The 13,872-nt window shown below is 39.0% G+C and overlaps 1 protein-coding gene across 5 annotated transcripts in view; it reads right to left on the bottom strand.

Annotated features, from left to right (window-relative positions):
* TMEM165 (transmembrane protein 165) overlaps positions 1-13,872 on the bottom strand; it is a 57,441-nt gene that overhangs the window by 34,740 nt on the left and 8,829 nt on the right. For all 5 annotated transcript variants that reach the window (NR_073070.2, XM_011534394.4, XM_017008412.2 and 2 more), the window contains 3 exons: positions 6,819-7,044; positions 1,411-1,586; positions 673-855 (listed from right to left, as the gene is read on the bottom strand). Coding sequence is in view for 4 of the 5 variants with exons in the window: in XM_011534394.4 (XP_011532696.1) it covers positions 673-855; positions 1,411-1,586; positions 6,819-7,044 (585 nt within the window). In the remaining variant the exon portion in view is untranslated. The remainder of the gene's footprint in view (positions 1-672; positions 856-1,410; positions 1,587-6,818; positions 7,045-13,872) is intronic.

The raw sequence follows: 13,872 nt of genomic DNA, 5'->3' as shown, positions 1-13,872 counted from the left end.
TGAACCAATTTTCTGCTGGATTATTAGGCTGTTTCTAAATTTTTACTAAGTTACAATAATTATAAGTAGTCTGTGCAACAGTCAATTTCTTTAGTGTAACACATGAACGAAAAGCTATACACTTTTTTTTTTTTTTCAGACTGGGTCTCCCTGTCACCAAGGCTGGAGTGCAGTGGCGCGAACACAGCTCACTGGAGCCTCAACCTCCCAGGCTCAAGCAATCCTCCCACCTCAACCCTCCTGAGTAGCTGGGACTACAGGTGCATACCACCAAGCCCGGCTAGCTACACATTTTTAAGGCTTTAGGTATTAAACACCAAAATGGCCTTCAATAATATTATACTGATTTATATTCTCAACAACTATAAAAAAGAAAGTTCTATGATAAGAAAACCAAGCTAAGATGACAAGTACCACGGCATCATTTTGGCAAAACCAAAGGGAAAAGGATGAGTAAAAAGAGCCCAACTGAGCTTGGTTACAAGAATTTCACCTGCAGGTAGCAGGAACTGGGAGAAGGCCAATTTTAGAGAGCAGCTGAATTATCAGATGTAAAACAGTCTTGCATATGAAGGAATGCTGTGGCCCACTTCAGTGTGTCCAGTGTTTTCTGGAACAAAGTAATAATAATTACGTTTCATTTTAAACAGTCTCCTCTCAAATATCACTCACCTCTCTAGCTGCCAATACAATTGTAGTTAGTTGAGAGCGATCACCCCATTCTGCTAAGAATGTTAATGTAAGAGCTTGAACAAAAATGGGTGAAATAAAATGCAACCACTTTTTCTGAGGTACTGTTATGCTTGTACCCGTTTCAACATCTCCCGGTCCATTTAAAAGTTTGGTTCGTTGAAACTAAAATAAATAATAAACAAATGAAAGTAAGCACAGGAAGCAAATCAAAATAGCACACAAATCACTTGACTTTTCTAAGTGTTTAAATTCTATGAAATATGCTCCAAAAAAACTACATTTATGTGACCCCCAAACCTCCCCTCTGAACCACTGGTCTCACACAGCAACAAATGCTATAGTCTCAATTCTTCCGTTTCTCCTCAGCTGAACAAACCAAACAGTATTTACTGCTCTGCTCACTTACTATCCTAGACACCACGGGAGAAACAGGTAAAATTATAAAATACAGTTCCTGCTTTTCAGGAGCTTATAATCAACCTAATTAAGGAAACTGATTACCTGTGTTCAGTATTCATCTGTCAGCTTCCTTTCTCTACTACATTCACACCAACCCCAAGTCAGATCACAGACAGGTATAAGAACAGAACAAAGCAAAAGAAGCTATTTTTGTGTAGCCCCGCATATCACACAGATGGGGCCACTGAGAAACCTCTGTAGAGTGTTTATTCCTAGTTGAGTGCCTTTTTGGTCCAGATCAACAGTGCCATGGCTTACTTCTTCATCTTTCTTCTTTAATTCAGCTTGAACTTCTTCCAGTTCCTCTTGACCCTCATCAGGGCTCATCTTTAAGCCTTCCCGAAGCATTCTAATGCCAAAAATGGCAAATAATACAGTTGAAACATAGTATGTATAGACCCTGGGGATGACTGTGGTGGCATAGCCAAACAAAACTGGAAAAAATACAACAGTATGTTTGTTAATCGAGTGTGTATCACGACCAAGGGAACAGTTAACTTCGGAAATAATAATTTATCACTGTTAAAAGAAAAATGGTTCACATTAGAAGCTAATCTAGTATGTAATAACCTCAAGTATTTCCAGATCTTTCTCTCCACCAATAATAAACCATTAGGTCTAGCCCAGGCCTAACACAGCTTACTCAGAAGCCAATGGTCCAGTTGAAGATGGCACATCTTCCTGAGAGATGTTAAGTAAGATATTGAACTCCTTTCCAGGCATGTTCAGTCAGAGGCTGGCTTGCCTTATGTTGTGCAAGGCACAGTACCTGGGGTAGAAGTTAGCTCTGAGGCCCTCTCAAGAGCTGAGATTTTATAACTGGGAAGCCATGCCACTTGCATAGTGGAATTTCTTCATCACAAATCTTTAAATCACAAACTTCTAGTGAAGAATCATGACAAAAGTCTCACATAGCAAGATTTAAACTCTGCTCCCTTGTAACTATTTAAAATAAGTACGTTTTATGAAAAAAATCTAAAAATTTCTTATTATATTAAAATAATGTTACAACAGGCTCAAACATTCAGTTCCACTCTTTCCCACTGATAAGGAAAGACATCTGTGTAAGTTATATAAAAAATGATGCTTGGAACTATATCAAGAACTCAAATCCTAATGGTGAAACACAAGTATATCAGTAATACTCATTCAGTAATTAAAACTTAAAAATTTGGCTGGGCAAAGTGGCATAATCCCAGCACTCTGGGAGGCCACGGTGGAAGGATTGCTTGAGCCTAGAAGTTCAAAACCAGCCTGGGAAACATAGTGACACCCTGTCTCATAAACAAACAAAAACAACTATGTAAGGAACAGAGGACACGACCATACATATAATAAATACAATTACTCTGGCCAGGCACGGTGGCTCATGCCTGTAATCCCAGCACTTTGGGAGACCGAGTCGGGCGGATTACTTGAGCCCAGGAGCTTGAGACCACTGGTCAACATGGCGAAATCCTGTCTCTACAAAAAAAATACAAAAATTAGCCTGACGGGGTGACACACGCCTTGGTCCCAGCCTACTTGAGGGGCTGAGATAGGAGGATCACTTGAGCCCAGGAGGTCAAAGCTGCAGTGAGCTGCGATCATGCCACTGCATCCCAGCTTGGGCAACAGAGTGAGATCCCATCTCAGAAAAAAAAAAAGAAAGAAAGAAAAATACAATTACTCTTTAATTCACCAGCTCTTTTTATAAAACGGGTGCAACACTTACAAATCTGCCTGTAAATGTATAACCTGTATGTAAATAATTCCCTACATTACAAAACTGAAAAGATCTTAAAATCATGGTTAGAAATGCAGCAAACCTATGTTTGTGTGCACATCTGTATTTAAATTATTGTGTGTGTATATATGTATGGATGTATATTTGTATATATGTATGTGTACACACAGGATACAAGCATATATTTTCTAGCTCTGTCCACTGAAAAAGACAAGAGGCAAAGACATCTCAGTAACAAGGAGCTCAGTAACCTTGCACCTAGATCTTGGGTTCTAATACCATTCTCCCCTAAAAAGCTCCTCAAAGCTCCGCCGAGAAATGGCCAGTTCCAGGACTGGGCAGAGCAGGTGCATGATGAACCTGTAATATCTTGTTGTACTAGAAAGTGAGGAGCAAAATCAAATGGGAGCATGCCACAAAGACACAGGACACAGTTTGGAGAGGCTCTCACTGGCCTAACATCGGATAATTTAAGCAGCAAAATAGTTAAATAATTAATTATAAACCATTGAAAAAAGGAATCCATAAGTTTGTACTGCTAGTAAAAAGACAAACAAATGGGAAAGGAAGGAGAGCTCTTGCTGGCAGTAGAATACCAAGGCTCACTGGTGAATATGCAAGAAGTATTAGAATTAAAAGCATCATTTTGCAAGCATCAATGAAAGATCTAATTATGCAAGAATCATCAATTGATGCAAAATCTTTGGAGAAATTTTGATGAGGAAGAGGGTATTTGTACTGTCTTTAAGTATATCCCTACAGATTAGATAGTAGTTGCAAGGGAAGACAACACAGAAAAGAAATATTGACTGGGTCACCAAAATTAATGTCACCAATGAGGAATAAATGGACACCATGTGCTTCCAGATGAGACATTCTTGGAGAGACAAAGTATCACCTATGCAGTTTTCTAGTCAGGAATGCCTACCTCAATCTAACCATCAGGAAACATCAGACAAACAAAAAATGGGGAACAGCCCATTCCTGGGGTGGAGGGAGGAGGGATACACTGTAATTCTCCCAAAAAGGTTGATGTCAGAAAACATTTTAAAAAAAGGCTATGGATATATTTCAGATTAAAAGACTAAAAAGATAATAAATAACTAAATGCAATATCTGACCTAGACCGAAGGGAAAAACACTGATATAAAGGACATTATTGAGGGGTCAGGGGCAAGGGGAGGGAGAGCATTAGGACCAATACCTAGTGCATGCAGGGCTTAAAACCTAGATGACGGGTTGATGAGTGCAACAAATCACCATGGCACATGTATACCTGTGTAACAAACCTGCACGTTCTGCACATGTATCCCAGAACATAAAGTATAAAAAAAAAGTGGTTAAATCTATAAAACTAAATAAAGCTATAAAAGAGAAGATGTAGAAATAAACACATATGATTTAACAGTTGAGGCAAAATAATATAAAGACTGTTAAACCCACTTAAATTACATAAAACTGATAACACAAGTGAAATATTTAAAAATTTCATGTCCTTTTTTTTTTTTTTGAGACGGAGTCTCACTCTGTCGCCCAGGCTGGAGTGCAGTGGCACAATCTCGGCTCACTACAAGCTCTGCCTCCCGGGTTGACGCCATTCTCCTGCCTCAGTCTCCCAAGTAGCTAGGACTACAGATGCCCGCCACCAAGCCTGGCTAGTTTTTTGGATTTTTTTAGTAGAGACGGGGTTTCACCGTGTTAGCCAGGATGGCCTCGATCTCCTGACCTCGTGATCCGCCTGCCTCAGCCTCCCAAAGTGCTGGGATCACAGGCGTGAGCCACCGCGCCCAGCCTATGTCCTTTCAAAAAACAAGAAAGGACATTAGGTCATCCAAAATTAAAATATGGATGACAGATTCAAGTACTGTATCAATACATAATATATATTAAATGTTGTGATTATATGTGTGCATTATATAGCTTATAAATAATGTATGTATATGTACACACTATAGACAGGTATGTAAACAACGTGTATATATACACATTTACAATTTTATTTAGATAAGAGTACAAATGCTAAAACAAATGGGATAAAATGTTAACAACAGGTGAATCTAGGCAAAAGTTATATAAGTGTTCTTCATACTATTTTATTTTTGCTGCTTTGTAAACTTAAAATTATTTCTATAAAATGTTTAAAAATTGTAAAATGATGGGCCAGGGGCCAGGCGTGGTAGCTCACGCCTGTAATCGCAGCACTTTGGGAGGCCAAGGCGGGCGATCATTTGAGGTCAGGAGTTTGAGACCAGCCTGGCCAACATGGTAAAACTCTATCTCTACCAAAACATACAATAAGTATCCAGGCGTGATGGCATGTGCCTGTAGTCTCAGCTACTTGGGAGGCTGAGGCAGGAAAATCGCCTGAGCCTGGGAGATGGAGGTTTAAGTGAGTCGGGATCATGCCACTGCACTCCGGCCTGGGTGACAGAGCAAGAGTCTGTCTCAAAATAAATAAAAAGATAAATAAATAAAAATTTAAAAAATAAATACAAGGTAAAAGGATGGGCAGGCACACATACCTATAATATCAGTACACTGGGAGGCTAAGGTGGAAAGATAGCTTGAGCCCAGGAGTTCAAGATCAGCCTGGGCAACACAACCAGACCCTGTCTCTACAAAAAACAAAAAATTTAGCTGGGCATGGTGGCATGAGCCTATGGTCCCAGCTACTCAGGAGGCTGAGGTGGAAGGATCACTTGAGCCCAGGAGTTCCAGGTCTCAGTGAGCTATGATCATGCCACTGCACTCCAGCCTGAGTGATAGAGCAAGACTCAGTCTCTAAAAAAAAATAAATAAATAAATAAATAAAAAATAGCCCTATCATCTCATTAAGAGATGTATTTCCAATTTTTTAAAATGATTATTTAAATTTATAATATATTTTCTTTGAGTACTAATAACTATAACAACTCAATTCATAGAGTTAACACTTAAGAGATTTACTAGGAGAAATTTACAATATCTTTGAAAATTCAATGATATTAAATGCATATTTTTATTGCAGGTAGATATGATGGGGTGATCCATATATATATTTCTTTAGGCTCATAAAGTGAAGCAGTGGGGGTGGACAAGGAAGAAAGAAATCTGTAACTGGTTTGTCATCGATTAGTTGTATACACCATTGCACTTGGACCAGCTTTGTAATAAATTTTGAAGCAAAAATTTATAATCATTAGAGTAAAATTAAGGGAAGTAAATGAAAATATAAATTATAGGAAGAAAAAAATGTAAATTTCCAACTGTTAAAAAAGTATATTCACATTTGTTTTAAAGGAATGATGGTGATAGTGGGTATCAAATTACTAATGGTATTTAGAGTCACTGGGTAGATTTTAAAAACACCCTAACAGTCTCCCTTTTTTTTTTTTTTTTTTTTTTTTGAGATGGAGTCTCACTCTATCACCCAGGCTGGAGTGTAGTGGCGCGATCTCAGCTCACTGCAACCTCTGCCTCCTGGGTTCAAGCGATTCTCCTGCCTCAGCCTCCTGAGTTGCTGGGATTACAGGTGCACATTACCATGCCCAGCTAATTTTTGTATTTTCAGTAGAGATGCGGTTTCACCACATTGGTCAGGCTGATCTCGGAACTCCTGACCTCGTGATCTGTCCACTTCGGCCTCCCAAAGTGCTGGGATTACAGGCGTGAGTGACTGTGCCCAGCCCTAACTGTCTTACTTTACACAATATAACAGAAATTAGATCTTTGCAATTCCTTAAATTGAAGATGAAAAATTTCAGACAACTATGCGAGAGGGGGTACAAAATTATTTTAGAGGATACACAAGGAAAGGATACACAAGGAAAAGGTTGGAAGACCACAAATAAGGTGTAAGCCAAATTCCCATAAGACTAGGTTAATGACTCAGTGACTCCATGTCACACAACACGCTTTCCCTTTAATTCAGCGAACTCATGAGAGGGAAAAGCACACTCACCTGACAAGCATGTCATTAGTCCCAAGGCAAGCATTGCACCAGCCAGCACGGTCAGGCGGTTATAGCGCATTGCCATGATGGCTGCTATAAAAAATGTCTTATCACCCAATTCAGATACAATAATAACTGATATGGCAGCGACAAATGCATGGATAAATCCCAAATTAGTTTGGGTAGCAGGATCTTCTTTATTGGTATGAACTGGAGCTGCTGGTGTAAATATTTTCTGGAAAAAAAAAATCAGTTACTTCTTAAAATCATTATTCAAAATTATTTTATTTTGCACGTAAATAAGATTTAGTTTTTTTGAAAATTTTCTTGTCATGGTCATTACACTTATTTACTGTCTAATCACTCTGAAAGCCATCAGTAACGACGGTAACCTCTGACGATGGTTGCTACAATTTGAGTATCCCTTACCTGAAATGTATGGGACCAGAAGTAGTTGGAATTTTGGATTTTTTTAGATTTTGGAATATTTATATCATAGCTGAGTACCCCTAATCCAGAAATCCAAAATGTTCCATTGAGCATTTCATGTATGTCAGTGCTCAAGTTTCAGATTTTGGAGCACTGTGGATTTTAGATTGAGGATACTAAACATGTATAATGCAGATTTACATATAATTCTCCAAAACAATTTTAAGAACAGAGTACAGACCTGCTATATCCATGCATTAAAATTCCCTTTTTTTTTTTTTTTTTGAGACAAAATCTCACTCTGTCACTCAGGCTGGAGTGCAGTGGTGTGATCTTGGCTCACTGCAACCTCCACCTCCCAGGTTCAAGCGATTCTCCTGCCTCAGCCTCACAAGTAGCTGGGATTATAGGTATGCACCACCAAGCCCAGCTAATTTTTGTATTTTTAGTCAAGACAGGGTTTCTCATCATGTTGGCCAGGCTGGTCTCAAACTCCTGACCTCAAGTGATCCACCCACCTCAGCCTCCCAAAGTGCTGAGATTACAGGCGTGAGCCACCACGCTTGGCCAAAATTACCTTATTTGTTAGGCATTTGTGATTTCAGATTTAGTTCTTAGCTACATCTCATTCAAATTTGTATTAGTAACTTGCATGAAAGACCCAGGTATGTTTAAAAAACATTTGAACGACGGGAAGCTAAGAAAAATTTCATTAACACTCTGAAGGACAGAGTAAGACCCACAAACCTCAGCAGGGTATAGAGAGTTGGTTCCAGCTAAGACAAGTTTAATACAGCTGTTAACACAGATCGTCCTACGCTGAAGTCTAAAAATATCTTAGAAGGTAAAGTGGCATGGTGGCGGAAGCCTATAATCCCAGTTACTTGGGAGGCTGAGACGGGAGAATTGCTTCAACCTGGGAGGCGGAGGTTGCAGTGAGCTGAGACTGCGCCCATTGCACAATGGGCAATGAGTGAAACTCTGTCTCAAAAAAAAAGAAGGTAAAGTGGCCTAATGAAAAAGACAAACCAGTGTCTTGGCTGTCATTACGCTGTAAATGTGACAAAGCTTCAAAAAAGCAGTAAGCTCTTCGCATGAAGGAGTTAATGACAAGTCCAACGTTATTCTATGCTGCTCAGACCTTCCCCAAAGTTCTATATACAGTTCTAAAGCACTGCACTGCCCTCTGAAGATTAGCAGATGTCAGACTCTAAAACCAGGGATGGCAAGTTACTGAACCAAAACCCAGCCTATAAGAGCAAAAAAAGGTTTTTTACATTTTTAAGAAGTTACAAGAAATAAGAAGAAAGAGAAAAGGAGGGAAGGCTGGTGGGAGGCAAGGAGGAGGGAGGGAAGGAAAGGAAGATTATGCATCAGAGATTGGTAGCCTGCAAATACATGGCAACTACAAGAAGTTTGCTGACTTGGCTCTAAAACAATCCCGTGAGGGACCAGGAAGGACGGGGTATCATGTTCCAATAATTGGGAAAGTTTTTAAGTGAATCTATCCAATCCATACGGTCCTAAGAGGCAGAACTAAAAAGTTAGAGATGGCAGGTTTTAGCTTAACAGAGAGGAGAGATTTCTGTCTCCAAAGACGCACCCAAAGTTGGAACAGACTGCTAGAGGAGGTGGTAAATACCCTTCTCTTCTCAACGTCTGAGTTCCAGAGAAGGGAACCACCACTCCCAGGAAATGGGCTAGACAAGCGGTTCTCAACCAGGGCGATTTTGTCTCCCAGGGGACATCTGACAATGCTTGCGGACATTTTTAGTTACAATCAAAGGGGAACTACTGGCATCTAGTGGGTAGAGGCCAGAAACGCTGCTAAACATCCTACAATGCACAGGACAGCCCTTCCACAACCAAGAATTATATATCCAAAATGTCAACAGTTCCCAGACTGAGACGCCCTGGGCTAGATAAACCACTTCCAAAGGTCTCTTCCAATCCTAATAACTTATTTTTAATTTTTTAAGCTTATGAATCTCTAGAAACCCAAGAGATAAAGAAAAAGAAACCCAAGAACATAGTAATTTTGGACAGCGTAAAAACAGATTTATTACAAAGGCCCTAGTCACAGGTAAGAATAAAATCATAAATTCTTAGTGTGCATGTCATTCCTTAACACATAACATAAAGATTATAAAATTCCACAGTAAAGATCAGAAAAATTTAGGCATTACCATTAAGACTAGACCTCTGAGCTAAATACTGGAGAAATTTAACAAAATGGAAAGTATTTGTTGCCTTGACAGCTGGCTCTCAATGAATTGAGTTTAATTAATTAAGCAAGTATCATTTTAAGGGCTTCTTGCTTTCTCTCCATTATTTTGGTTCCACCTACGTTGACGGTCCTTTAAAAACGAGCTTCCTGCAGTGAGCTGTAATGGCACCATTGCACTCCAGCCTGGGTGATGGAGCAAGCCCCCTTCTCAAAACAACAACTTCCTTTCTCTTCCAATATTAAGAATCCTTATATTAAAAAAAAAAAAAAGGGCATTTCAAATTTCAACTTGGCTCTGACACATTTTCCTCCTGAAAATGCTTTTTAAAGGTTTGTATAAAATTTCAGGATCTGAAATCCCAGAAAAATTTTAGGAATAAATATACACCATTTATGATCACTTAGCTCTAAGCTCAAACACAAAATGTTTACTTTTTAAATCAAACACAATAGTGATCAAAGCTACACAGTCTCATGGTTTTATAATTCCCAGCCATGAAACTTCAGCCACATTATTTAATCTCTGTTCCTCTGTAAAATGTAGGGATAAAATAAAATTTGCTTTAAGAGTACAGACATGCACCACATGATGACAATTTGATCAATGATGGGCCGAATATGCAGCAGTAGTCCCATAAGATTACAGTACCAAATTTTTTACTTTACCTTTTCTATGTTTTTTTATATATATAAAATGTTACAACTGCCTACAGTATTTAATATAGTAACACGCTGTACAGATTTGTAGCCTAAAAGCCATAGGCTATACCATTTAGCCTAGGTGTATAGCAGGTTATACATCTAGGTTTGTGTTGAGTACACTCTAGGACGTCTGCACAATGAAATTGCCTGATAATGAGTTTCTCAGAACACATCCCCATCATTAAGCGATGCTACATATTCTTAAAACCTTCCTACACACAAAACACAAGAAAAATAAACATAAAGCTTGTTACATACTAAGCTGGTCCTGGGTGGCCAAAATCATACAACCAATCATGGTGACAAGAACTTAAAACGAAAAGTATCGGGGTACCGTGAAGATAGAAGATCTTTTTTAATTAAAATATTAACAGGATTAAAAAGTGATCCATTACCATTCCTTCACTGCTATGTGCAAGGATCATCTTCTTTGTCTAATTCACCTTCACAGGGACACAGTGTAGTGGTTAAGTGTATAGGCTCTGGAATCAGACTGCCAGTTCATAGCCAAGGCATTATCAGTTACGGCGTGACCTTGGGCCAATAGGTACACCCCCCTGTGACTCAAGTTCATCTGTAACATAAGGGCTACCTATGTCTCAAAGGGTTGCTGTGAGGATTAAATGAATAAAGCCCTTTAGGACAGTGCTCAGTACACAGTAAGTGCTCAATTAGTTTTTGTAGTGCCACAAAATATGAACAGTTGAATCTTCCTGAAACTAATTTCATGTTACTTCACTGTTTTAAGAAACGTAATGGTCTTTTCATACCAAATACTTGATTCTGGTAACTATCCAACAGTTCTCACTGAAGCACATACCAGGTTCCCCAAATGAACCTGCTTCTCCATCCTGAAGGATGAGCCAGAGCAGAGTCTAACAAAAAATCATGCAGCCACAAAGGTAGGCCACATAATACAATTTTACATTTTCTGGTAGCCATATATTTAAAAGTAAAACCAGGTAAAAATTTTAATAACATTTTACTTAACCCAATATATCCAAAATGCTACTATTTAAATTATAAGCAATATTTTTAAAACTACTGAGATATTTTAACATTCTTTTTTTCATATTAAATCTTCAGACCCTGGTAGGTATTTACTCACCGCACACCTCAACTCTGGATTAGCCACATATCAAGTGCTCACAGCCACACATACTCATGGCTCATGGTTACAGTGCTGGGCAGTGCAGCTCGAAAGCATGACAGGCTTTTGCTAACCACAAGCCTTCAGCCACACAGTCCTTTTTCCCTTCCCACCTCCTTTTCGTTATCCCCCTCTTCATCCAGATTCCTCAAGGTCCAACTCAAGTAGAACCTCTTGAGAAAGGCCTATCCCAGCAACTCCAGCTCTTAATGATCCTGACCCACTACAATAAAACTGAATGCAAACTGTGGGCAATGAGTATGGGAGGCCTATTACAGAAAAAAGTTCAAGACAGAAACACTCAAGGAATTGACCTTTTCGGATTACAAATATGTATAAATGTAATGCTATCATTTGTAATAAAGAGACAAAATAACTAAATGTCGGCTGGGCTCAGTGGCTCATGCCTGTAATCCCAGCACTTTGGGAGATGGGTGGAGCCCTTGAGCCCAGGAGTTCAAGACCAGCCTGGGCAACAAAGTGAGACCCTGTCTCTACAAAAAATACAAAAGTAGCTGGGTGTGGTGGCACACACCTGTAGTTTCCAGCTATTTGGGAGGCTGTGAGGTGAGAGGATCGCTTGAGCCCAGGAGGTACAAGTTGCAGTGAGCAGAGATGACATCACTGCACTCCAGCCTGGGCAACAGAGTGAGACCCTGTCTCAAAACAAAGAGAAAGAAAAAAACAACTAAATGTCCATTGATAGAAAACTAGTTAAATAAATGGTAGATCCACATAACGGAATATTATAGAGCTAAAAGAATAATAAGAATGTTCTATACACTAATATAGAAAATCATTAAGATATTTTGAAGTTGAGAAAAAGTATATACTAAGTATGTGTACATGTGGATGGTGTAAGTATCATAAATACACACCACGTCTCAAGAAACAGGTTAATGATGAATGTTTCCAGGAAAGGAACCAGAATGACTAGAACAGGGGTTGGCAAACTTTTTCTAGAATACAAAAAAGGAAAAGAGACGTAACTTCTCATTCTACATTCTTCTGTATCTTCTGGAATTTTTAACTTTCACACCATTATAGACACATGCTATGTACCATTTCAAAAACTTCCTGACCCAACATCTTATGCCAGCTATGGAGGATCAATTTCTTGTAAGCTGTGACTGACTTCAGGCAGGTCCAACCAAAAAGCACTGCTCTGTATTTACTCATTCACTACCTGGAAGTATGGGAAGTTAATAGCTGTAGGGCTACCAATATGGAAGCTGGTTCTAAGATTCATTTCATAAGCCTCCTGGGAAGTTTCAGTGGGATTTCAGTGGGATTCAGTACTAGTCACTCATGGAGTGGCTAACTTGAAAATACATCACTCCTTTTCTGCATATACCTCTTTTCTGTACTGACAATGTGAAAGAATATAGGCATGTTCTGAGAACAAGAAGTAAACCATCAGAAGAATGGTTGGGGCAAGATGAGAAAGATAAACTGGGCCTGAAATTCTTTATGTTTGTGGACAAGCTCAGAGGCAAGAGGGAAGTCATTACATATTTTTGTGTAACACATAAACACCATCAAGGCACTGTGACCAATTATCAGGGCAGAGTGGGGAGTATCAGCCACTGGATCAATCAGGAGGTCAGCTGCATGAAACCCGTGTTAAGACAAATAAGAGAAGGAAAAAATTCTGCACACAATGGAAAGAAAAATCACTAGACCTTTAAAAAAAGGTAGGCGGGATGGGGGGAATCAAAGATGGTGGTGAGGTTTTCTGGTTGGCAGAAATATTAGTACTCTTAAAACGCTATTATGTATTTAGTACTCTTAAAAGGTATGTCGGAAAGGGGAATAAAAACAAGGGGTTTGGTTTCATATACATTCCACTTGGGGTGATAAAAAGCATTTCAAATGAAGGTTTGAAAGAGGTTATCAGAAATGGATCACCAGAGTTTAGCCTAGGACAGCCTCAAGGTATGTAGCCTCAAGGTTGACAGCCTTCGTGTCCTCAATAGGCTCTTGGAAACTGCAACTTTAAGTGAAATGATGTAAAAGAAAACCAACTTTCTTTTCTCATCAATGTTATAATGAAACAACACTGAATTAAAATGACATCATTGATGTCATTTCACTTAAAGTGACCATTTCCAAGAATCTATTAATAACATTAAGTGAGGACGTACTCTATCTGGTTGCTGGCAGCCCAAATTTATCAGCTAAAGCTCTGCAAGTAGATGAGATTTCCAACAGATAAGGCAAAGAGATAAAGTTCAAAGAATGCGCCTTAGAGAATGTCTTTATTCAAAGAAGGTGGAGGGAGGAAAAAAAATAGGAAAAAAAACTATCTTAGATATTTCGAGCCAGGCAGCAACTAAAGCATCACAGACCGTCAGGTTGGGGTGCGCTACTAACTAGATGCGAGATATTTTCAGACACATTGTTGCATTTGATACTCAAAAAAACTTAGGAGCTGTTTTAAGTTTTAATACAGGAAAACTGAGGTCAAACGGGCTTCATTATTCTGCCAAGTTCATACACCTGAGATGGATTCTTAAACAGTAGAGAATTAACAGTGTCAAATGAGAACTGAAAAA

The sequence above is a fragment of the Homo sapiens genome, chromosome 4 (genome assembly GCF_000001405.40).
Source record: "Homo sapiens chromosome 4, GRCh38.p14 Primary Assembly".
Taxonomy (NCBI): domain Eukaryota; kingdom Metazoa; phylum Chordata; class Mammalia; order Primates; family Hominidae; genus Homo; species Homo sapiens.
This window is presented reverse-complemented; position numbering and strand designations above follow the sequence as displayed.